Source organism: Homo sapiens, chromosome 6 (assembly GCF_000001405.40).
Source record: "Homo sapiens chromosome 6, GRCh38.p14 Primary Assembly".
Classification (NCBI taxonomy): domain Eukaryota; kingdom Metazoa; phylum Chordata; class Mammalia; order Primates; family Hominidae; genus Homo; species Homo sapiens.
In genome coordinates this window covers 89,262,354-89,286,092 of record NC_000006.12, presented here as the reverse complement: position 1 = coordinate 89,286,092, position 23,739 = coordinate 89,262,354, and the positions used below count along the sequence as shown (strand labels likewise).

Here is a 23,739-nt window from a genome sequence, read left to right as displayed (position 1 = left end):
GATTCGGGTCAGAGATAGGCCCAGGAGGAAGACTGTCATTGGCTTTAGGGTGAGAGTTTGTTTGTTGTTGGGGGTGCGGGCGGGGAGCTGAGTATCTGCAGAGAAGAGAAAGGGCCCAAGGCCCTTGGGAGGGAGAGGAGGAGTCGGGCGAGAGCTGTGTCACAGAGACCCCAGAGGGAGGGAGTTTCAAGCAGGGCACCCCATGGAGAGAGGTCAAAGAGGCCGAGGCCTAGGAAAAGTCTTGCCACTCAGCAAGGACATTGGGGAAGGAGGGGGCGCGCCAGTGGGAGATACCCATAGCTGGTCCAGATGGGATGGTGGAAGTCTGACAGCAAAAAGGAAGCGGCCACCAGGACATGGCAAGTTGTAGTCTCACTCCTGAATGTCTCCTTCAAGGTCGGTAATCCAGGGGTTCTCAACTTGAGTGTGGATCAGCATCACCCACCAGGCTACCTTAAACCCAGACCCCTGAACACATCCCTACAGTGTCTGATTCATCAGGCCTGGGGAGGAGCGGCCGAAGAATTTGCATCTCTAAGTGCCCGGGTGATGGTGATGCTGCTCTGGAGGGAGGAGCCACAGATCGAGTGCAGCCTCACCCACTCCCCACCCGCAATCGCATGCTCACACGTGGTGCTCATCACCTGTTTAGGAGCCGGCCCTCACCATGAGAAAAATCAGGCCTATTTCTAAACTGAAACGTTCGATTACCCCCACCAAGGGAAAAAGAGTCATTGCCAACAGTTCAAATTAACTCAAACTTTGCAAGAAGCCCTTGAGGAAAGGAACATGCAGCAAATGCAAAGTCAAGCCATATAACCCCCAGTAACAACAATTCCCTTGCGCCAGCAATGCCAGGGTAGCTGGGCCCAGTCTGGCCACTCCTTGGCTATCCCATGGGGAGAAGCCCAGGTGCTGCTGGGGACTGGATGTTTTCCAACCTCACAGAGGCAGGGCAGAAGGCACCTCCTTCCTCAGGGATGAAGAATGTCTGAAATGTTTCCCCACACAATTAAGCTTAGAGTCAGTGGAAAAGGGCAAGGCTGCCCACAGGCAAACTCGTTTTCACAGAGGAGAGGGATACGGGGCTGTGTGCCTGGGGAGTCGGCTGTGGACAGGGAATTTTGAATGTTACGCTGAGGTAGTCCATCAACATATTCTTTATAGTTTATGCAGGGGTAAACTGTTCCGGCCCTGTTCTAGCACACTCCCTAGTCCACCTCAGACACTCTACTAAAAAATTTTTGAGAGGTAAAACATTGTATTACTTTCCTCTAAGTTTTATAACAAATTATCACAAATGCGGAGACAACACAACACAGATGTATTATCTTACAGTTCTGTGGTTCAGAAGTCCGGAATGGGTCTCGCTGGGTTAGAAGCAAGGCGTCAGCAGGGCCATGTTCCTTTCTGGAGGTTCTAGGCAGCATCCATTCTCTTGCACTTCCTGGGTTCTAGAGGCCGTCCACATTCTGTGGCTCCTGGCTCCCTTTCTTTGTGGTCAAAGCCAGCCAACAGCGGGCTAAGTTGCTTAAACATGGCATCACTCTGACCTTCTCTTCTGCCTCTCTCTTCCACATTTAAGGATTCTTGTGATTACATTGGGCCCACCTGGGTACTTCAGGCTACTCTCCCCATTGTAAGGTCAGCTGATTCGCTACCTTAATTATCTGCACATGTTCTTAGTTCTCCTTTGCCATCCAACCACACACATCCCCAGGTTCTGGAGGTGAGGATGTATAAATCTCTGGGGCATTATTCTGCCTACTACCGACATATATATGTAAGGTGCACAAGTCTTAAGTGTATAGCTTGAATTTTTACATATGTAAACAGTTACCCTTGAAAACACTATGCAGATCGAGATACAGAACTTTCCAGCTCCCAGAAGGCTCCCTCACACCCCCTCCCAAGGTACCCTTGGTACTTCCCAAGGGTAACCATTTTTCTGACCTCTGTCTCCATGGACTAGTTTTGCTTACTCTTGAACTGCATGTAAATGAAATCATACAGCATGTGACCCTCTCTCTTGAAACAACCCCAACCATCTTTGGAGTGGTGGGACCATCGGAGAGTTTGCATCATTTTGAGGGCCAATCTGTCTCTCTGAGGCTCCTACGTATACCACCTTAAGAGCTGTAATTATGGTGCTACTCAGAAGAAGTCTCTCTTCCACATGACTATCCTTCAAATAGTTGAAGACTGTTTTCCGAAAGTTTTTAATTTTTACAAGATCAATAATCCATGCCCTTCAATAGACTCTAATATAGTGTGATCGTGAACGTGCCCACCCCGTACACTTCTCCCTGAGCCTGTGCTATTCACAGGGAGCTCTTGGTTCCAAACGCTGTCCCTCCTGGATGTACTTGGCTCATGCAGAGCCAGGGGAATTATCCCTTCTGTTTTTCTAGATGCCTATAAAAATCTTTTTCATGTCCTTCCAAAGCTATTTTATGCATATGAAATATGCATATATATCCTCCCCACCCCACTTTCTAGACGATTGTGCTATACATACTCTTGTATGGCTATATATACTCTCGTTGTTATTGTACTATACATACTCTTCTGTACATTGGTTTTTTTTACTTAGCACTATATCTTGGGAATCTATCAGCTCATATACAACTTCTTCATATTTTTAATGGTTTATTATTCCACTGTATGGATCTATCATACTTTATTTGCCAACTGTCTTATTGAAGGATATTTAAATTGTTTCCACTATTTTGCTATCACAAGTCATATGTATATATGTCATTTTTAAAATTTTGTACATCTCTAATTTTGAAAATCATAGGATTCTCTAAATAGATATGGAAAAAACTCTTGATAAAGAACACCTATTGATGACAAGAATCCTTGGCAAACTCTCCTTACAACAAGCAAAAAAAAAAATTAAAATCCAATAGAAAAATGTGCAAAGAACAGAAACGGGCAATTCACAGAAGACGAAATCCTGGACCAGAAACATAGAAATGATCAGACTCATTGGTAATTAGAGAAATAAAAATGAAAACACTGAGAAAGAACTTTATACCTATCAGATAAGTGAGCCTTAGAAAGCTGAATCATGAAAGTCTCTGGGCTTTGAGGAGTCAGTCCTCAGCTAGTGAGTGTGACCACGTGTGCAGCACACAGGATGGAGTCGGCACCGTAGTCACCAGTTCCACGTGTCTGCCCGAAGTCAAGAACACGGAGCTGCACAGTATCGTGGGAATGGGAGGACTCTGGGAGGGGCTGGGGAAGTGAGGATCTGGAAGGGGGAGACTGGTGAGCAGACAGCTGCCACTCTCCACTTCGGTCTGAAGCCTGTTGAGCTGGGCAGGTTGACCTTGTGGGAAGCCCCACTTCGGGCTGCCTCTGTGGGCCTGGTGGTGGGCTTGGGCTGCTGTTGGATAGAAGGCCTTTCCAGGATCCCATCCCAGTTTACCTTGCCACACTTTCTCCCAAACAACAAACTTTTCCATGCCCTATGCTACTCCTATATATTTTGCTTCCGACTCCACAAACAGTCGCATCTTCATGTCATTTCATGGTGACAAAGATAATGGTGGATATTGAAGCAATGTGTCTTCATCATCAGAAACCTCTAGTCCAAATCACCCTGGGCTCTCATAGCAAGAGCCATGTCAACTTAGTCCATTGGGTTTTTTCACTGTGAAGATAAAACACCACTTCTGCCATCAAGGCAGAATTGTGAGATGGAATGCCTGGATACCTGAAGAGGAATTCCTAATGAACAGGAAGAGGACATGGCAAGCCCAACCCCTGGGGAGCTGTAGGGGAAGAAGACAGATGGGTAGACATAGAGGTCAAATGCACGTGTCCTTGCTTCCTTCTGGAGAGCAAGATCAGTATGTGAGGGAGCCCAAGATCTCTGTGGGTGTGGTGGAGGAGGGGGGCTGGTGGCTCGCTGGCTGGGCCTAGCATGGGAGGTTGCATGTGTGTGTGAGAGAGTGTGTATATATGTGCGAATGTGTGTGCACGTATGCAAGCGTTTGCTGCTACATTGAGTATGAGGAAGGAGTAGTGATGCAGTCGTGATGGAGGGAGGTGGCTGGACGGATGAGTTGAAGCTGAGTGACTGCCCCCACCAGGTCAGAGAGGGGCATGACAGCCTTCTGAAGTCCATGAGTGCTCAGTGTGCAGTAAGCAGACGCGGGTGCTGAGATGGACAGCAGACCAACATAGGCTCCGGTCTGGACCCAGAGGCCCTAGCGTGAGAGGATTTCCCTGCTGGAGGCCAGAGGACCATGGATTTGCCAAAAGACAGATGAGATCCTTTGGACCTCAGCAGACACCAGTCCAGAGAAGCGCTTAGTGGCAGAGACCAGCCAGCAAGCAAGGATTCAAGGGCCCCCTTTTGCCTCTGTGCCACAGGTCATCTACGGTGGGAGGAAATCTGAAACACTTTAAAACCTGGACTACACGGAGCTGCTGTTCATTACAACTTTTCCACACTTAACAGACATCTTAACAGACATAAGGGCTTGTGAGATGGATCAAAGAAACTGCCTTTAAAAAAAAACGTGCACATCTGAGAAGTGTGGGGGAATGATCTACTTGCCACACTACACTTATGCTCATCACACAACCTGAAGTGCCCTTCTTCCTCCCGCTACCTGTTAGAAGTAACTAGTGCTTCAAAGTCCAACCCAAATGCAGCCCGTTGGTGATGCTTTCTCCAGTGCCTGTGGCCTAAATTCAGCAAAAGCTGTCTCTTGTGTGAAATGTTCTCCAATGCCTTTCGTTGGACTTCACTGATCCTTCCTCTGGATCATATTATGAATGCTTCTTTTTCACTTCTGTGATGTGTCCTGAAACAGAGTCAGTTGCTCCTCTCCACGGATTTTAAGCTCCTGGAGGAAGGAACTGCGGCCTATGCATCTCCATATTGCGAATTGCAGTCTGCTCAGGGCTTGGTCTGGTGGACACAGTCAGGACAGGTATGAACCACTCAGTCAGTGCAGGCACAGGGACCCTAGGAAGCACTGACACATGGAAGGTCTTATTCAAATTCATCTCTGATGTGGATCTATTTCTTTAAATATCGTGACCCTTAAAATATCAAATTCAGAGAAACAGTGAAAAATCGTTATTACTTATTTTTGCTTCAATTCATTTCACAAGTTTGACAAAATTTCATCCTAAGGCGAAGCCTTGTGAGAGAGCCTGAAGAATTCACTGAGCACAGCATTTCCTTGGGAAAATCCTTGCTGTGTTCTTGTTTCAGTGTAATGTGGCAAGTTCTCCTTGACTGATAATCCAGAACTTCAGAAATAGTTTTTTAAAAATCTCCATAATAACTGGGAGCACACATTGCTGACAATGACCAACTTTTCTTCAAGTGTGGCTCACAGATTTTTCTGCTGCTGGCTTCCACCTTTTATTCCATGGCACAGGTTGGAATGCTCTATTTCCGCCCACTCTGCTGGAGCTGAGCAAAACCGCATTCACCCATGACAGCAGCGTTGGAGCCCAGGGCCAGGAGACAGTTCAGGACCCTTGTTAGGGCCTGTGGAGTCTAGGGGCAGCGGGCAGTAAGCTGGCATGGCAGGCAACCCATCTTGGGTGCCTGTGATCCCCTCAGGAAATCAGATTTGCAGAGTGTGACCCTCAGTGACATAGACACCAGTGCTAAGAGGTTGGCAGAGTCATTCCTTCCTCCAGTGTGTATTCAGCCCCCTTCAGACCAGACTGTCTGCTCTGTGAGTGCTGAGGGAAGTATGGGAGTAAGAGCCTCAGGCTCTGTCCTCTAGGTAAGTGAGTTAGGCCATAATAATAATGACAATGTTGATGTAACTATGTGTGTGTATGTGTATATGTATATGTATGTATATATATATATATATATATATATATATATATATATATATATTTGTTTTTAGACTAAGTCTCTGTCATTCAGGCTGGAATATAGTGGCACGATCTTGGCTCACTGCAACCTCCACTTCCCGGGTTCAAGCGATTCTCCTACCTCAGCCTCCAAGTAGCTGAGATTACAGGCATGAGCCCCCACACCTGGCTAATTCTTGTATTTTTAGTAGAGATGGGATTTTGCCATGTTGGCCAGGCTAGTCTCTAACTCTTGGCTTCAGGTGCCCCACCTGCCTCAGCCTCCCAAAGTGCTGGGATTACAGGCGTGAGCCACCACAGCCAGACAGTGTAACTATTTATGGAGAACATCTTATATGTCAAACCTTTCCATGGGCTTTACATGGATGAGCACATTTAATCCTAATGATAGCCTGATAAGCATATGAAGTTGGTACAATTATTATACCTATTTTAGAGATGAGGAAACTGAGGGAAAGAGAAATTATGTATGTACAAAGTCACACTACTAAGAAATGATAGTGACAAAATTCAGATACAGGCAGTGTATCAGTGGGGTTTTTTTTTTTTTTAACTTTTTTTGTAGCTGGCATAGTGGCTCACACCTGTAATCCCAGTGTTTTGGGAGCCTGAGGAGGGAGGATCCCTTAAGGCCAGGAGTTCCAGGTTATAGTGAGCTATGATCTTGCCACTGCACTCCTACCTGGGTGACAGAACAAGACCCTATCTCTAAAAATAAACCAAAAAAAAGTTTTTTGAATCACAGTCCTTTGAAAGTCTGTTTCCCAGAATAGTAATTAAAAATATCTGCCTCTCTCTGTCTCTGTCACACACACACCAGAGTGAGCACACACCCGCATGCATGCACACACACACACACGCATGCACACTTTTTTTATATGCAGTTTCAGGGTGTTCACAGAATCCCTTCACCGGTCTTCAGGGACTCCATGGACACAGGGCTCCCCGCTGCCTGCCTCACACAGACAATCTCAACACGAGGATGATGGTGGATAACAGAGCACAAACACAAGCAAACTGTCAGGAGCAGCTGTGGGTGGCATGAAGGACCAGAGAGGGGATGCAGGGCCAGGCCGGGGATCTGAGGGACAGAGAGACGGCTCCACCCTGCTCGGGAGCTGGCTTCGTCTTGCAGCCCATGCACAGGGCATGGCGGTTTCTCGGGCTTATCATCCACTTCTTGGTATTGGTCATTCTTGGTACTGGCCCATACTGTGAGCCACAGCAAACAGAGGCCCCTCAACCACTGGAGAGCTGGCTGGGGAAGCCAGGAGTAGGAAATTCAGGGGCCCGCTTCCTGAGTCCAGGTTGGTGAATGACCCACCTGTGGGACCACAAAGCCATCAACACCTCCCGTCCTCCTCTTCCTCCCACACCTCAGTGGAACTTTGTGCCATTTGACCTTAGATCTTGGTCTCTATTGATATGCCAACCTCCCCGCCCCACACTAGTGTGGGTGAGTGGGAGTTGGGGGTTCTGGTGTTTTCTTGAGTGCAGATTTTGGAGGCTGACAAAGCAGAAAGACAGTTGCTCTCCCTGAAAGTTGATGAAGGAAGCAGGTGAGTGTTACACTAGGAAAAGAATGGGACACTGTGGGGACCCCACAACCTTACCCAGGGGCTCAGGAAAAGCCCCCTAGAAGAAAGGTAGAGTTTAAGTTGAGACCCTAGTCGGTTTGCCTAGATGTGAGACTCAAGCCCCTCAGCCTCACCTTCTCAGACAAGCTTTTAAGTCACTGTTTCCAAATACTGGTTTCTCAAATATTAATAGGTGTTATTTTTCTTTACTATTTTTAAAACTTTGAGCTATAACACACATTGAGAAAAGGACGCTAAACAAGTGTACAGTGAAATAGCTTAAAATAAACACCCAGGTGAACCATCATTCAGATCAAGAAAAATAATATTTCTATTCCCCAGAAACCCATCACCTATCCATATGCCATTCCAGTCAGGTACCTTTTGGCCATTACTTCCTTCACTTTTTATTCTTTCATCTCCAACATACATAATCTTCAACCCCATAATTTAGCTTTGTATGTTTTGGAATTGTATATAAATGAAAGCATACCGTACATATTCATCCATAAGATGAAAATCTCTTATGTTATTGCATGTAACTATGAAATTCCATTGTATGAATACACCACAATGTATCCTATACTAGAGACAGACATTTGGGAGATTTCCAGCTTTTAGCTATAACAAAGAATGCTTTGTGAATATTTTTGTGTATGTCTTCTGGTGCACATTCACATACATTTCTCGAAGTAGAGTCCCTGGGTCATGGGGTGTACATAGCTTCCATTTTGCTAGGTAATGCATTGAAAGGTAGTGGTACCAATTTGCAGCCCCCACCCCCCCCCACCCCCGCCCACCACTGGCAAGGTATGAGAGTTCCTGTTGCCCCATATCCTTGCCAACACCTGGGATAGTCACCCATTCATTTGAGCCACTTTTGTTAGTATATAGTAAGAATATCTTATTGTGGTTTTAATGGAGCTATTAATGAGGTTGAGCACCTTTCCAGATGTTTATCATTTTTGTTGTTGTGGTAGTAGTAATTATTTTCTTTTCTTTTTTTTTTAGATTTTAGATTCAGGTACATGTGTGTTTTTGTTAAATACATGTGTAATGGTGGGCATTGGGCTTCTAGTGTACCCATCACACAAATATGTTTATTGTTAATTTCCTCTTTTGTGAAATGCCTATTCAAATCTCTTGCTTGTTTTTGTATTGGGTTATTTGACTTGTTCTTAATGGAACTCTTAGGAGTTATTTATATATTCTGTATACTAGCTCTTTGTCAGTTATTTGTATTACATAGTTATTCTCATGCTGCTATAAATAACTGCCTGAGACTGGGTAATTTATAAAGGAAAGAGGTTTAATTGACTCACAGTTCAGCACGGCTTGGGAAGCCTCAGGAAACTTACAGTCAGGGCAGAAGGTGAAGGAGAAGCAAGGCACCTTCTTCACAAGGCAGCAGGACGGAGAAGTGCTGAGCAAAGTGGGGAAGAGCCCCTTATAAAACCATCAGATCTTGAGAGAACTCACTTACTATCACGAGAACAGCATGGGGAAAACCACCCCCCATGATTCAGTTACCTCCACCTGGTCTGACAAGTGGGGATGATGGGGATAATGAGGATTACAATTAAAGATGAGATTTAGGTGGGGACAGAAAGCCTAATCATGTCAAATAGTGAATATTCCAATACATGAACATGATATATTTCTCCATTTATTTAGGTCTGCTTTAATTTCTCTCAATAATGTTTCATAGTTTTCTACATGGAGGACTTCAGATAGTTTCATAGACCTATTTCTATGTACTTATTTCTAGGTACTTTTGATGATTTCATAAATGATACTTTAAAAAAATCATTTTTTAAAACTCTGCTGGTATAGAGAAATGTAATTGATTTTTATATACTGACTCTATATTTAACAATATTGTTAAACTCTTTTATCAGTCTAATAGTTTATCTACGATTTTTAAATTTTATGTACTCAATCATACAACATGCAAATAATGTCATAACTTTCCAACGGTCATAACTTTTTTTTTCTTTTCCTATTGCACTGGCTAAAACCTTTAGGACAATGGTAGTGGCATCAATGGCATTCTTGTCTTATTTACAATTTCCAAGGAAATCTTACAACGGTTTACTATTAAAGATGGTATTTGATGTAGATTTTTTGGTAGCTCTCCTTCATCACATTGAGAAAATTCCCTTCTATTCATTTTTTAAAAAATCATAAATAGGTACTGATTTTAACAAACGCTTTTCTGCAATTATTGAGGTAAAGAATTTTCTTTTGTAGTCTGTTAATGTGGAAATTTATATTGATTCTAAGTTTTATAGTTTTCCAGTTTTATGCAGAAACTCTCAATCTTAATGTTTAAAAATCTATTTGCACATAGTAAACTTCGATATTTTAAAGTCTATCTTATTTCAGTATCCAAAGACCCCTATGGATCTGTTTATATTCTTTATTTTCCTGCTGGTTATTGTGTATGCCTTATTTTCTGATGTGCCTGCTTATTTTTGCTTATGAACTTATTTATATAATAATATAAATAATAATTTATAATGTATATAATATAAATAATGATTTATAATGTATATAATATAAATAATGATTTATAATTTATATTTATATTTTATATTATAATTTATATTTATAATATTTTAATAGAAAAAATTAGAGACCAAGGATGATGTTATCTTCCTCCAGAGGGGATTTATGTTTATTTCTGCCAGGTGCCTGGTGGCATTAACACCCGAGGTTGCTTGAGGGGACTACCACTCCGGAGAGCTTTAATCCGTGTTCGGTGACTGACATAATTTAAGCTGCGAACCCTACAAAGGTTTATCTACTCTGGTCCACCTTCATTTCTAGAATGCAGTCTTTGGGATGTACAATATATGAAGTACGAAGCTCCACTAAATGAGCACTTGGGCCCTAATCCTGTCCCACAGCCCCTTGAAGTCATCAAAAGCATCTCTCTGCCTCTCAATTCCCCTCCTGAATTGGCAAATGCCCCTAAGAGAAGTAGATCCAAATACCGGGCCATCCCCTTGGGACTCTGCTTCACCTAGACCCCCAATCCTGGCCTGTTTTGTTAACTTTGATGCCTCCAAAAGTAAGTTTTTCTTCTGGCACATTGGTTCACACCTGTAATCTCAGCACTTTGGGAGGCTGAGGCGGGCGGATCACTTGAGGCCAGGAGTTTCAGACCAGCCTGGCCAAGATGGTGAAACTCCATCTCTACTAAAACTACAAGAATTAGCCAGGTGTGGTGGTGCACACCTGTAATCCCAGCTACTTGGGAGGCTGAGGCATGAGAATCGCTTGAACCCGGGAGGTAGAGGTTGCAGTGAGCCGAGATCATGCCACTGCACTCCAGCCTGGGTGACAGAGCGAGACTTTGTCTTAAAAACAGAAAAAAAAGTAAATTTTTCTATTTTTGTCCAATTTTTAAATTTTCAATAGAAATGTTAGTGTGAATTACTTAGCTTGCTATTACTGGAATTCCTTGATTGATTTTCTAGTGTTAAAACCAGTTTTGCATTCCTGGAGTGAACCTGATTTGGACATGATTTATTATCTTTTTCAGTGTTTTGCTGGATGTGATAAATCCCTAAAGTGTGCTTTCCAGGACCATGAGAAGAAAAATTAAAGCGGAAAGTTAGGAACCAAGAAGAGCCCTTGGCTAAGCATGTATTTCCCTTATGCTGCCTTGAATTTGTCACCTAACTGGCTACACTGCCTGAAATCTCACCAGAGAAGAGAAATCCCAAAGAGAAGTCTCTTTGCGTTACCAGATCCCTCATTATTTTTTTAAAAATTATTTATTTACAGACAGGGTCTCACTCTATTGCCCATGCTGGAGTGCAGTGGCGCACGCTCACAGCTTACTGAAGCCTGGACCTCCCTGGCTCAAGCAATTCTCCACCTCAGTCTCCTGAGCAGCTGGGACTACAGGTGCATGCCACCATGCCCAACTAATTTTTGTATTTTCTGTAGAGACAGGGTTTCGCCGTGTTATTGAGGCTGGTCTTGAACTCCTAGGTTCAGATGATCCACCCACCTTGGCTTCCCAAAGTGTTGGGATTACTGATGTGAGCCACTTCACCCAGCCCAGCCCCTCTCTTAAAGCAGAAAACCCTACAGCAGTGTTAAGGGGCCAAGCCTCATTAGTTTAATGAGACTACTTTCCTTCTAAATAGGACTTGTTAGGACTTAGCCCCACTCAAAACATAAAATTGTTCATGGAAGAAGAAGAAAGACCAGTAATTTGCAAGAATTTCTCCCAAATCTAGGTTGGGAAGGGCCACAAAGTGGAGATCTTGAGAGCCAGGCAGTGGGGCAGGTCAAAGGCAGCGCTCAGACCAAGGAGGGCAGGGCCTTTGGTCTCTGTTGAAACTTGAGGTGCGAGTTTCCCTGAATGTGGCTTTGGGACCTCCTGAATAGAAAGATTGTTTTCCTCCAACAACCTGGGGCATCTGAGGCCTTGACCTGCACTCCGCATGGGCAATACCTCCAGAGCACTGATGCCTCCCTTGCAGTTTTTATCAAATTTCTCCTTAAAAGGGCACTGGAGCTCTGAAGAGCAAGCCAGGCCCTGAGAACAGACAGACACAGTAACTAACACCAAGCCAGCTGACATTTTATCTGGAAAATGCCTGAGCCAAAACTAGCTCCTGGTCAAACACTGTGCATGTTATCTGAAAACCAGGCCACTAGAACATGAATCCAAGAGGGCCATCGCTGTATTGTTTCTTCCCTGCGGCTCTTGGGACTGCTGTATCCAGCAGGTCACCTGGCACTTTAGAGAAAGTAGGCACAGGAGAGATGGGGAACAGGGAGAGTACAGTACATCTTCCACAGGAGGCTGTGCTACCCCAGAATTTAAAGTGCCACTCTGGGCCATTTTAACACCTCAGACTAATGAAGGGTCCCCAGGATGAGGGAATGAATGGTGTTGGGAGCCTCTAGCAGGGAGCGGGATCTAGGTACTAGGAGACAGCTCTGGCCAGGCTGCCCACACACCCTCCTTCAGGTTGCAAGGCCCTCAGGGGAGAAAGATAGGTTAATTGGTAAGCCCTGAGGAGGGGCCTCCTCCCACAGGGACCATCCCATTTCTGGCACCCTCAAAGCACTTCTGGAGCCTGGAATAAAAAGAGAATGCAGGCCGGTGCGGTGGCTCATGCCTCTAATCCCAGCACTTTGGGAGGCCGAGGCGGGCGGATCACTTTTGGTCAGGAGTTTGAGACCAGCCTGACCAACATGGTGAAACCCTGGCCTCTACTAAAAATACAAAAAATTAGCCAGGTGTGGTGGCAGGCGCCTGTAATTCCAGCCACTCAGGAGGCTGAAGCAGGAGAATTGCTTAAACCTGGGAGGCAGAGGTTGCAGTGAGCCAAGATTGTGCCACTGTACTCCAGCCTGGGCAACAGAGCGAGACTCTGTCTCAAAAGAAGAGAATACGGACGACTGTCAGAGCAAAGATTTCTCATGGGCCCTGATCTTAGCTATCATCTGAGGAACACAGAAAAATAGAACGTTCAACTTATACCCTGATTTATCTGAGAGGGAAAAATTAAAGCATTGTACTTATTTTCTTTCACGTTTAAGAACACAGAAAATAGTCACCCAACCTCACCAGTAATGAATAAAATACTTCCATTCTATCAGGCTCAGCCAAAACAGGAAATCTTTAACGGTGGGATTTCAAGTGTTTGCAAGCCTATGGGGAGCCGTGGGGGAGTCAGCGAGGCCATCTCCCACCCGGGACTACTTCCAAGAGGACCTCTACCCTGCATTTGGGCGGGAGCTGAGGACTGGGCTTTCTAGTTCCTACGTACGCAGTGTGGGAATCTCTGGTCCTCCTTCCCCGCCCATGGCCAAAGTCTCAGCCCTTCCAGTTCTGCTCATTCCTCAGGACTCAGACTCACCAAGTCCCCCCAAGGTTCTCCCCGCTCAGACCACAGTGGGTCACAACGTCCTGATCCTGTGTTCCCTGGTCAGGGCTCAGAGGACCCACGTGCAGCTAGGCTGGCCTCTGGACAATGCCCTCTCCCGCTGAGGCCCAGCCCAGCTGCACCTGACTTGCAGTGTAATGGCATTCATTAACACGCCTGATAGATGCAGGTTGCTGGTTTTTCCCTTTCTAAGTTTAAAAAAAATTAAAATCCAAAAAACATTTTACTAAAGCATAACATACACCCAGAAAAGTGCACCCATTGTAAGTGTACCACTCACTACATTCTCCTAAAGTGAACTTATCTACGTAACCATCACCCAGCTCAAGGAAAAGGACAGGACCCCACAGACAAACTCAGTTTTAGAAATCTTGCCGTAGGCCAGATGAAGTTCAGTGCTAGTTTCCGTGCTGGGTTTTCTCATACTTCTAATCTGACATGGCCTGACAAGGTTTCATTGTCCTTTGCTGTGATGTGACATCGCACAGAGAAGATCTTGTCTCACCCTGGGTTGAAGGCCTCTAGAGGGCTGGACCCCAGCTATATGTCAGGGTCTCTGTAGGTATAGCCTGAATGACTGAATGAATTCAGACCAGGGCATGCAGGTGCCCAGCCCAGAGCTGGATGCTTTTAGGCCTCATTCTCTTTTTCAGATGTCACAGGAGGCCCAATGACCAGGGTCTCCAGTCAGGCACTACAGCCACATTATTACCTCTACCCTACAGAGACAGCCCTGGGATGTAAAAAGTGGTGATCAGCTCATTGATTCATCCAATAAGCATGGATTACACATTCAGCCTGGCCCAGGGATGGCACATAAGGCAGGCACAGTCCCTGACGTTGTGGAGAGAGCTCAGACACCCAACAGGTCAGGAACCAGCAAGAAACCCTCATAGAATTCTAAACCTCTGCCCTACTCTGCTCCAGTCCTGGCTCCCCGGGGGAAGCCAACTGGGGCTGTTCCCAGCCCAAAGGTAGAGAGGAAGGTGCCTTAACCAGCTGTCTCTGCTCTTCTGCAGGCCCTGCCATCCCGGTGGGCGTGGACGTACAGGTGGAGAGCCTGGACAGCATCTCCGAGGTGGACATGGTATGCAGCGGCCTCCAGTGACACAGCGTGAGAGCCTGTAGTGTAGTGGGCCTCGGTGGTGCAGGCTGTGCCTGTGTGGGCAGAGCGGGAGCTGGAGGTGATAAAATGGGCGCTTGGAAGTCGGCCCTGGAGCAGTAAAATCTAAAGCGGGCATTCTCGCTGCGTGGGTAAAAATAACCTAAGGAGTTGGTTAAATGTGGGTTTCTGGGCCCCATTTCACACTTCCTGATTCAGAATCTCTGGGAGTGATACTTTGCATTTTCAACACACTCCACAAATAATGCAAGTGATCAGGCGAACCACACCTGGTGGGGTACTGGAGGTGGACAGTTTCAGGCTGAAATTTTGCAGCTTTCTGATGTTCAGTTCCTGCTGCAAGTGCAGTCCCCCTACTCACTTTGTGGCAGTGTCCCCCACTCCATGTCTACCCCAATTCTACCACCACAGGCCTGGGTGTCCTGCAAGGCTCACAGTGGAGAGGTGTGCCCCCCACCCCAGGGCCCCAGCCTCCTCTCTTCCTTCTTCTGTATGCCTCTCTTTCAGTTTGCAAACTTCCTCTTTCTTCTGCCTCAGGGATCTTGAGCATGCTTCAGCTCTGGCCCTCCCCATAGCTATCTCCTTCTTATCCTTCAGGACTTAGCTAAAATGAGACTTCTTCAAAGAGGCTTCCCTGACCTCCTGATCTAAAGAATTTCTGTTTTTTCTTCATAGCCTACATCATCATTTATAATTGTGCTAGATATTTATTTGGGGAGTTTTCTTATATATTGGTTGTCTTCCATGCTTGACTATAAGCTCCATGAATGCAGGGACTCATGTTTTTCTTTACCCCAATATCTCCAAGTCTAGTCCAGTGTGGTCCCCCAGGGGCCCTGAAAATGTGTGGAATAAATAAAAGTCGGGGAGGCTCCACTTGCCAGCACTGCATCCCACTTGCAATGCTGTCATCTGCCCTTGAAGAGTGGGAACGCCCCTTGCTCCTAACGGACCCAGCATGGCAGAGCTGATATGATTGATACTGAGGTTGTACACCCCCCATAGCTCCAGCACCTGGTAAAATATGGGGCCCAGGTGTGAAAGGTGCAGGTATGACAGTTTCCAAGATGCTAGATTTTACATTGCCAGCCCCTTTGGATATCCAACAGCTGAGCCCAGTTCCAGAACCAGCTGTGTCTAGAACAGCCTGGCTGCCCTAGACTGAATCAACCCAGATGTCTGTGCTGAGTGTGAAGACTTTGTCCTGTGTGGCTCAGGATCACAGGGAGAGGTATCTAGAATGACCTGCCTCTCACAGAGCAACCACCAACCTGTGGGAAGGCAGGTGGACTCCAGCAGTAGGTAGGTAACATCCAAGGTAGCCATACACAGCTGGTGTTTGTGAATCTGCACTTCCCCTGGGCAATGGCCCTCAGAGCCTGCTCTTCAGCTTTGTGACCGAGAAGGGAAATAGCCAGAAGGGGCATTTGGCTGGTCTCTTCCTACTCAGGTATTGGCTGCTCTCCGTGTGTGTGGAGGGGGAGTTCCTGGCAGCTGCTGATGCACTGGGAGCCAGGATCAGTCTAGGGACAGACTCTCATGCATGCACTATCCCAGTGCTCACTCATTCTTTCCTCTCTTCCTGGGGCTCCCTCTGGGCCCACCACAACCACGAACTCTTTCCAGCCTTCCTCCACCCAGAAGAGGATCTTTTGGGCAGTTATTTTTCCATTTGCACCTGTGTCAGCTTTGGCTATGGGGAAGGACCAAACTCTTAAGGAATCAACCATGCAGGCAAGGAGACACTTTTGAACAAGGTAAGATTTCAGGCAGAAATTATAGTAGGTATGCAGCTGCCCATCCCCTCATCCATTTATCTCCCCGATCTTTCAACCAGCAAATATCTATTGAGCATCTACTCTGTGCTTTGCCAGGCACTAAATTCTGTGATGAATGGGGATGCAATGGTGGGCAAGACACAATTTTTCCTTCAAGGATCTTATAAGCCTAACGGCAAGAATCCTCCTAAGAGAGACATTCGACAATCCAGGTTTCTGGAAGTGGCCACTAAGCTGAAATGGAATGGTTAGCCAATGGGTAAGGAACCATGTGTGCAGAGGTCTAAGTGAGAGAGAGCAGAGCTTTGGAGAAATCCTTCCCCACTGGCCACCAGGCCAGGCTGCGAGCATCACAGCTGCAGTTTTCATTTGCAAAGCCTGAGGGGCTGGTTGCTCAGTCTCCTGGGCTCCAAGCGCATGATGCATAAAAATGAGCTATTCTCTTTCCAACTGCACAGTGCCATCCTGCCACAGGGCTGCAGAACTGTTACCTCTGAATCTGGATGCTGAGCCTGAGATGTTCACCACAGTAGTGAATGGTGGGTTGATTGTAAGGAAGAAAACCTTCTAAGCCATTTTTGTCTGGTCTCACCCCGGCTCCCACAGGACTTCACTATGACCCTGTACCTGCGGCATTACTGGAAGGATGAGAGGCTAGCTTTCTCCAGCGCCAGCAACAAGAGCATGACCTTCGATGGCCGGCTGGTGAAGAAGATCTGGGTCCCTGATGTCTTCTTTGTTCACTCCAAAAGATCGTTCACTCATGACACCACCACTGACAACATCATGCTGAGGGTGTTCCCAGATGGACACGTGCTGTACAGCATGAGGTAGCTGTCTGGGGGCCATTGTTCCTCTGTCCAGTGCCTTTCTGGTATGTGTGGTCAGGCCCTTTGGCCCTGAAGACTGTCACTGCGGTTGGGTCTGTGGGTTCGTGGATGGGAGGAGCCTTCTGATGCTAGTCAGAACTATCTAAACATGACATGGCCACCCCAGCAGGGGACAACTTCCCCATCACTGGGGGTCTTAAGCTTGGGTGAGAAGACTACTTTGGCCTGAATGAGACAATGACCTTCCACATACTGTACCTTCTGTTCCCTGAGAGCATGTGATTCTAGTTGATTGATAATAAAGATTAAAAAAAAAGCTTTTAAAAAAATAGATTAAAAAAAAAGCCCCCCCCCGTCCCCCAAAAAAATAGCTACTGTGTTTTGAGTGCTATTGCAGATTGGCTTCTGGAGTACGGGGAGTCACATAAGAAGTCATGTTCCACATCTTAAAAAAATGCTTTTTTCTTACTTGTCACTGATGAAGCTCATTGTCCCACATCCCCCTGGTCTGCTTGTACAGTTCACCAGAATGCATTGCTGATACTAGACACTTCTGGCCTTTGGTGGAAGTTGATGAGGGGGCCTCCCAGGCATCTCTGGAGGAGGTGGCCCTGCTGGCTGAGGGCAAAGCCCAGAGAGAGGCACAGGAGAGAGCCATTAGCAGCCAGCACCACCAGTGGCTGGGGAAGGGGAGCACCAGCCCAGTAATGGGGATCTGGCAGAGCACTAATACTCTACTACAGAAGACAAAACTCTAGAAGTTAAGGTTCTATAACTCAGATAACTGTTTCCAAACTTCTGCAGCAGATGTGAGGAGGCAGCTACTCAGTTGTGTGCTGTGCCTTCTTGCTCTGGGCAGATGTAGGAGCCAATAATTCACCGCACAAGCCAATATGTGACTCTGGGTTGTCTAGGATTACGGTCACTGCCATGTGCAACATGGACTTCAGCCACTTTCCCCTGGACTCCCAGACCTGTTCTTTGGAGCTGGAGAGCTGTAAGTATCAGCATTCCTAATTCCTTCACTTTCTTTCCTCTCTGATCTTTGTGCCATTTTAGTAATCATGAGACTGAGCACTGCCCGCCAGCGTTAAGACCTATTTACTTCTGGACTGGCATAGGATTTCCCTGTTACTTCACCCTGCATCAGAAGCGAAGGAGTCAAATTAACTTGTTTTCCTCTTCCCAAAGATGCCTATACAGATGAAGATCTAATGCTGTACTGGAAGAATGGGGATGAATCCCTAAAAACAGATGAGAAGATCTCCTTGTCTCAGTTTCTGATTCAGAAATTTCACACAACTTCCAGGCTGGCCTTCTACAGCAGCACTGGTAGCTATCTTTTGCCACAATCTGATTCAAATGTGCAAGAAAGCACATTTGAATTCTTCTTCAGCCTTAACCCCAGGAAAATATGTTTTGTGTGTGTTTTGTTTTTTGTTTTGAGACAAGGTCTCACTCTGTCTCCCAAGCTGGAGTGTAGTGGCGAAATCATGGTTCACTGCAGCCTCAACCTCCCAGGCTCAGGTGATCCTCCCACGTCAGCCTCCTGAGTAGCTGGGACTACAGGCGCTGCCACCATGTCCAGCTAATTTTTAAAATTTTTTTGTAGAGATGAGGTCTTACTATGTTGCCCAAGCTGGTCTCGAACTCCTGGACTTAAGCAATCCTCCTACCTCGGCCTCCCAAAGTGCTGGGACTACAGGCGTGAGCCATCATGCTCAGCCTAAATTTTGATTATTAAAATAATGTAGCCTAGAATAGGTTCTGGCTTCTACCTACCAGGAGTTCGAGACCAGCCTGGCCAACATGGCAAAACCCCATCTCTACTAAAAATATAAAAATTAGCCAAGCATGGTGGTATGCACCTGTAATCCCAGCTACTCGGGAGGCTGAGACAGGAGAATTGCTTGAACCCAGGAGGCAAAGGTTGCAGTGAGCTGAGATTGCGCCACTGCACTCCAGCCTGGGGGACAGAGTGATACTCCGTCTCAAAAAAAAAAAAAAAAAAGAAGAAAAGAAATTAGCCAGGCATGGTGACACATGCCCCTGGTCCTAACTACTCAGGAGGCTGAGGAGGGAGGATTGCTTGAGCACAGGAGTTTGAGGCTGCAGTGAGCTATGATTGTGCCATTGCACTCCAGCCTGGGCAATAGAGCGAGACCCTGTCTCTATTCAAAAAAATAAAGAGAGAGAAATAGAATAAAGGTTCCCAGGAACTCATGGGAGGGGGAATGGAGAGTTATTGTGTAATGGGTGCAGAGTTTCTGTGTGGGATGATGAACAAGTTCTGGCAATGAATAGTGGTGATGGTTGTACCATATTGTGAATAATATACTTAGTGCCAGTGAACTGTACACTCGCCTGGGCATTGGAGGCCTGGGTTGAACCAAGCTCAACTGACTCTAGCTAAGGCTTTGGAAAAGCCTCTAAATGTCTCATTACCTCATGTCCCAAATGTCAGACTTTAGAATCATGTGAACAGCCTATTTCTTTTTGTGACAGATGTGGAGTTTGCATGATAAAGGATTAGGGTCTCACAATAAAGGTGACAATTTCACAATAAAGGTGACAGTGACCAGAGCCTAGCTCTCCCAGCTCCTGCCCCAGTGGCACTGGCCTCAACAAAATAGAACTATTCCAACCTCTTATGCTTTTGAGCAGCAAGTCACTCAAGAAATATGGTTGTAATTTGCAAATTACAAATACAGAACAAACAACTATAGCCTAGGCAACATGGTGAAACCCCTGTCTCTACAAAATAATAATAAGAAAAAAAATTTAGCTGGGCATGGTGGCACACACCTGTAGTTCCAGCTACTCAGAAAGCTGAGGTGGGAGGATCGCTTGAGCTTGGGAGGCTGAGGCTGCAGTGAGCTGTGAGTGTGCCACTGTACTCCAGCCTGGGCTACAGAGCAAGACCCTGTCTCAAAAACAAACAAACAAAAACCCAAACGACTAAAACTTCCCTTCTGTTTAGTTCTGCCGTTTCCCAAAATACTGTGAAGAAAAGTTAGGTAATACCAACTGAGATAGTAAATGTACTAGATATTGGCAAGATATTTATATATAGGAGAAAGGGCTTAGATTTTGGAAAAGAAAGGTATTATATTAAGCCAACTGGTCATTAATTTCAACTTTCTGTTGCTGAGGAGAGCCAAGTCAGTGAAAGACGGGTTCCCAGGGACACAGTTTGCTTTCACCTCTCAGATGGAACCTCATTGGCTTCTTCCTGCATCCCCTAGGCTGGTACAACCGTCTGTACATTAACTTCACGTTGCGTCGCCACATCTTCTTCTTCTTGCTCCAAACATATTTCCCTGCCACTCTGATGGTCATGCTGTCCTGGGTGTCCTTCTGGATCGACCGCAGAGCTGTGCCTGCCAGAGTTTCACTGGGTAAAAGCATTTCATAAGGTGTGGTAGGGTGGTTATTTTTTTCAACTTATCACTATGTTTACAAAAAGTAAAAATCATTACTTAGACTTCTTAACTGATGAGCTGTTAGAGTCAGAAGGAGCAACTTCATGTTTCTTGCCTTTACCATCTAGATGCTGGCCTCAGTTTCCTCCACATTATGAGAGCCACAGGGAGCTAAAACAACATCAACTGTGATTGTATCACTTCAGAAAGATTTGGGGTACAGACTTCGACAACTGGCAATATCAGAGCTCAGTATTTAGATAAACAAGATGATTCTGCAAATGCCAACAATTCCTTCTGTAAATACAAAAACTTCATTTGCTGGCCGTGTTTAGACAGACTGAGGGCTTGGAGGTAGGGCACAGAATATGAGATTTGTGGGAAAAGGAGGACCACGTTCCCTCGAGCTGTGTTTTAGCCTTTTACAGACCCTGAATTCCAGAGTGAAAGTTTACAACATGTCATTGTAAATTTAGACAACATTAGGTTGGGCTTTGAGAAAGGTGAGGGTTTAAGCAGCAAGACAGAGTGAAGAAGAATCCCGCATGATGGGCCTCTGGGAATTTCCACAGTCTTCCACAGCGACTAAAGCACACCTCTGAAGGCACGTTCTCAAACTTCAAGGAATAGGCACATTCTCTCTCATCTAAAGATGAGAAGTTTGAGAACGTTCCTTCAGAGGTGTCCTTTAGTCGCTGTCTTTAATTCCACATGAGAATAGGTCCTCTCTTTGTCAGCCACATCACAGAAACCCAGTCTTTCAGGTGCTTGAAGGAAAATGGGACAAGCAAGCAGGTTGGCTCTGAGGAGAATAGGCCTGGCTGCTAGTAGGGCAGATCCTTGCCCCTCTCCGAGGTGGAAACACACCTGGGACTTTCTCATGTGGTTTAAGAGATAGAGAGTGTAAAATCGTGACTTAGTGAGATATGAGGGCAGTTCTAGACCGCTGTCAGCAGCCCAACTAAGGCCGGGTGTTGCAGGTATCACGACGGTGCTGACCATGACCACCATCATCACGGGCGTGAATGCCTCCATGCCGCGCGTCTCCTACGTCAAGGCCGTGGACATCTACCTCTGGGTCAGCTTTGTGTTCGTGTTCCTCTCGGTGCTGGAGTATGCGGCTGTCAACTACCTGACCACCGTGCAGGAGCGCAAGGAACGGAAGCTGCGGGAGAAGGTGAGAGGGCTTCTTCGGCCCTTGTCTAAGTCCATGCTGCTGGGTGAAAATGAAGGTCTTCTGGGCCAGGGGGCAGAGGCAGGGGTTGCATGTAGAAAAAGGAGATGTTTGTGCAAAACGAGGAGGATCTTGTTTTAGAATAGGTTCTGGCTTCTACCCCAAAGGATTCCAGAAAGCAGAAGGTCTTTAGACAAAGACTAGGAACTGGAAGACTTGGGTCTCAGACTCAACTTTGACACCTATGCTGAGCCTCAGTTTTCTCATCTGTAAAAGGGAGATTACAGAACCCTCACCTCTACTGTAAGAGTCACATGAGATAATGTATGTGAAAGTTGTTTTGATCTTTCACATGTATCAGGATCTAGACAAACAAACTCTCACTATCATTACTGAACATGTCTAGGGACAGTGCCTCCCTGTCTTATGACCAGAGAAGGGAGAGTTCTAGAACAAAAAGTGCCTTTATTTATCAGTGCCCAGTGAAAATTCAGCCACAGTAAGGACTAAAGCTAAATACCTTATATATATTTCTTTAAAAAAAAACCTTTTATGTGTAGCTGCAGAAGGAAATTGGAAATACTATACTATCTGCCGGGCGTGGTGGCTCACGCCTATAATCCCAGCACTTTGGGAGGCCGAGGTGGGCGGATCACCTGAGGTCAGGAGTTCAACACCAGCCTGGCCAACATGGTGAAACCCCATCTCTACTAAAAATACAAAAATTAGCCGAGCATGGTGGTGCACGCCTGTAATCCCAGCTACTTGGGAGGCTGAGGCAAGAGAATCGCTTGAACCCGGGAGGCAGAGGTTACAGTGAGCTGAGATTGCACCACTGTACTCCAGCCTGGGCGACAGAGCAAGACCCCATTTCAAAAATAAAATAAAATAAAAATACCATACTATCTATAATGTACTGTACTGTACTATATTATACTACAGTCGATCCTTGAACAAGGCAGGGGTTGGGGGGGCTGACCCCTTGTGCAGTAGAAAATCCAAGTATAACTTTTGGCTCCTCCAAAAATTAACTACTAATGGCCTCATGTTGACTGGAAGCCTTACTGATAAGATAAACAGTCGATTAATACATATTTTGTATATGTATTATAAACTGTATTCTTACAATAAAGTAAGCTAGACAGAAAATGTTATGAAAATCATAAGGAAGAGAAAATATCTTTACAATTCATGAAATGGAAGTGGATCATCATAAACGACTTCATCCTGGTCATCTTCACTCTGAGTAGGCTGAGGAGGAGGACGAAAGAGAAGGTTTGGTCCTACTGTCTCCGGGGTGGCAGAGGTGGAAGAAAATCTAAGTGGATCTGCACAGTTCAAACCTGTGTTGTTCAAGGGTCAACTGCAAACTATGAGACAGAATACAACTGGGAGATTTTACAAAGCCATGCTCATGAGCCTTTGGCACAGGGAGGCAGTCTTTTCCATTCATAGTCAGACTCTTATTCATTTTAGTGTTAGGTCTGTGCAAAAGTAATGATATAAACTGCAATTACTTTTGCACCAACCTAATACTAAATAAATAATGCTGACTTGCTACCTGATCATTGCCAATCATTGCACTAATCAAAATGGGTGTTCATCTAAAAGCTGTGGAGATAAAGGGACATGAAAATCTCATATTTATGAACAACCAAGTGGCCATTAGCCTTTTAGCATAAGGGAGCTTTTAAAATTAAAATAATTTATTTTTGCCATGTAACGACATTTTGGTCAATGGGACCTTTAAATTTTAGGAAAAGAGAATATGTTGCCTTTTCAAAAATTGTCTTTCAACACCTGCATTATACCTATCAAGTATTTCCACATTGTCTCTGTTAACTTTAAAAAAATCAGAAATTTATAAATTTGAAAAAGGAGACTTTATTTCTTATAAAGGATTCCAGTCTGCAAGGTGGCCATCCTGCAGGCTGGGGAGTGCAGCCTCCTGTAAAGACCTGGAAACAGGCACTTTGAAGGAGAAGGTGTTGGAGTAGGGGCTTCATGCTGAATATGGCTAAATATACATATTCAACAGGCTATAGGAAGATTTATGAATAT

At 45.6% G+C, this 23,739-nt stretch overlaps 1 protein-coding gene across 6 annotated transcripts in view, besides 1 other annotated feature; it reads left to right on the top strand.

Moving 5' to 3' along the window:
• Nucleotides 1-23,739, top strand: part of GABRR2 (gamma-aminobutyric acid type A receptor subunit rho2) — a 60,836-nt gene that overhangs the window by 29,207 nt on the left and 7,890 nt on the right. For 2 of the 6 annotated variants that reach the window (XM_047418599.1, NM_002043.5), the window contains exons 3-8: nt 14,371-14,438; nt 16,859-17,082; nt 17,997-18,079; nt 18,274-18,414; nt 20,328-20,480; nt 21,485-21,681. In XM_047418599.1, coding sequence (XP_047274555.1) covers nt 14,371-14,438; nt 16,859-17,082; nt 17,997-18,079; nt 18,274-18,414; nt 20,328-20,480; nt 21,485-21,681 — 866 coding nt within the window. Of the gene's footprint in view, nt 1-14,189; nt 14,220-14,370; nt 17,083-17,996; nt 18,080-18,273; nt 18,415-20,327; nt 20,481-21,484; nt 21,682-23,739 lie in introns of those variants that run through there. The other 4 variants (XM_011535715.4, XM_011535717.4, XM_011535716.4 and 1 more) reach the window with 4 other exon arrangements.
• Nucleotides 14,408-14,477: an enhancer, noted in NCBI's record as "active region_24820". NCBI's record gives its function as "activates an Ori minimal core promoter by ATAC-STARR-seq in GM12878 lymphoblastoid cells {active_cell/tissue: GM12878}" and the evidence as "EXISTENCE:reporter gene assay evidence [ECO:0000049][PMID:35858748]".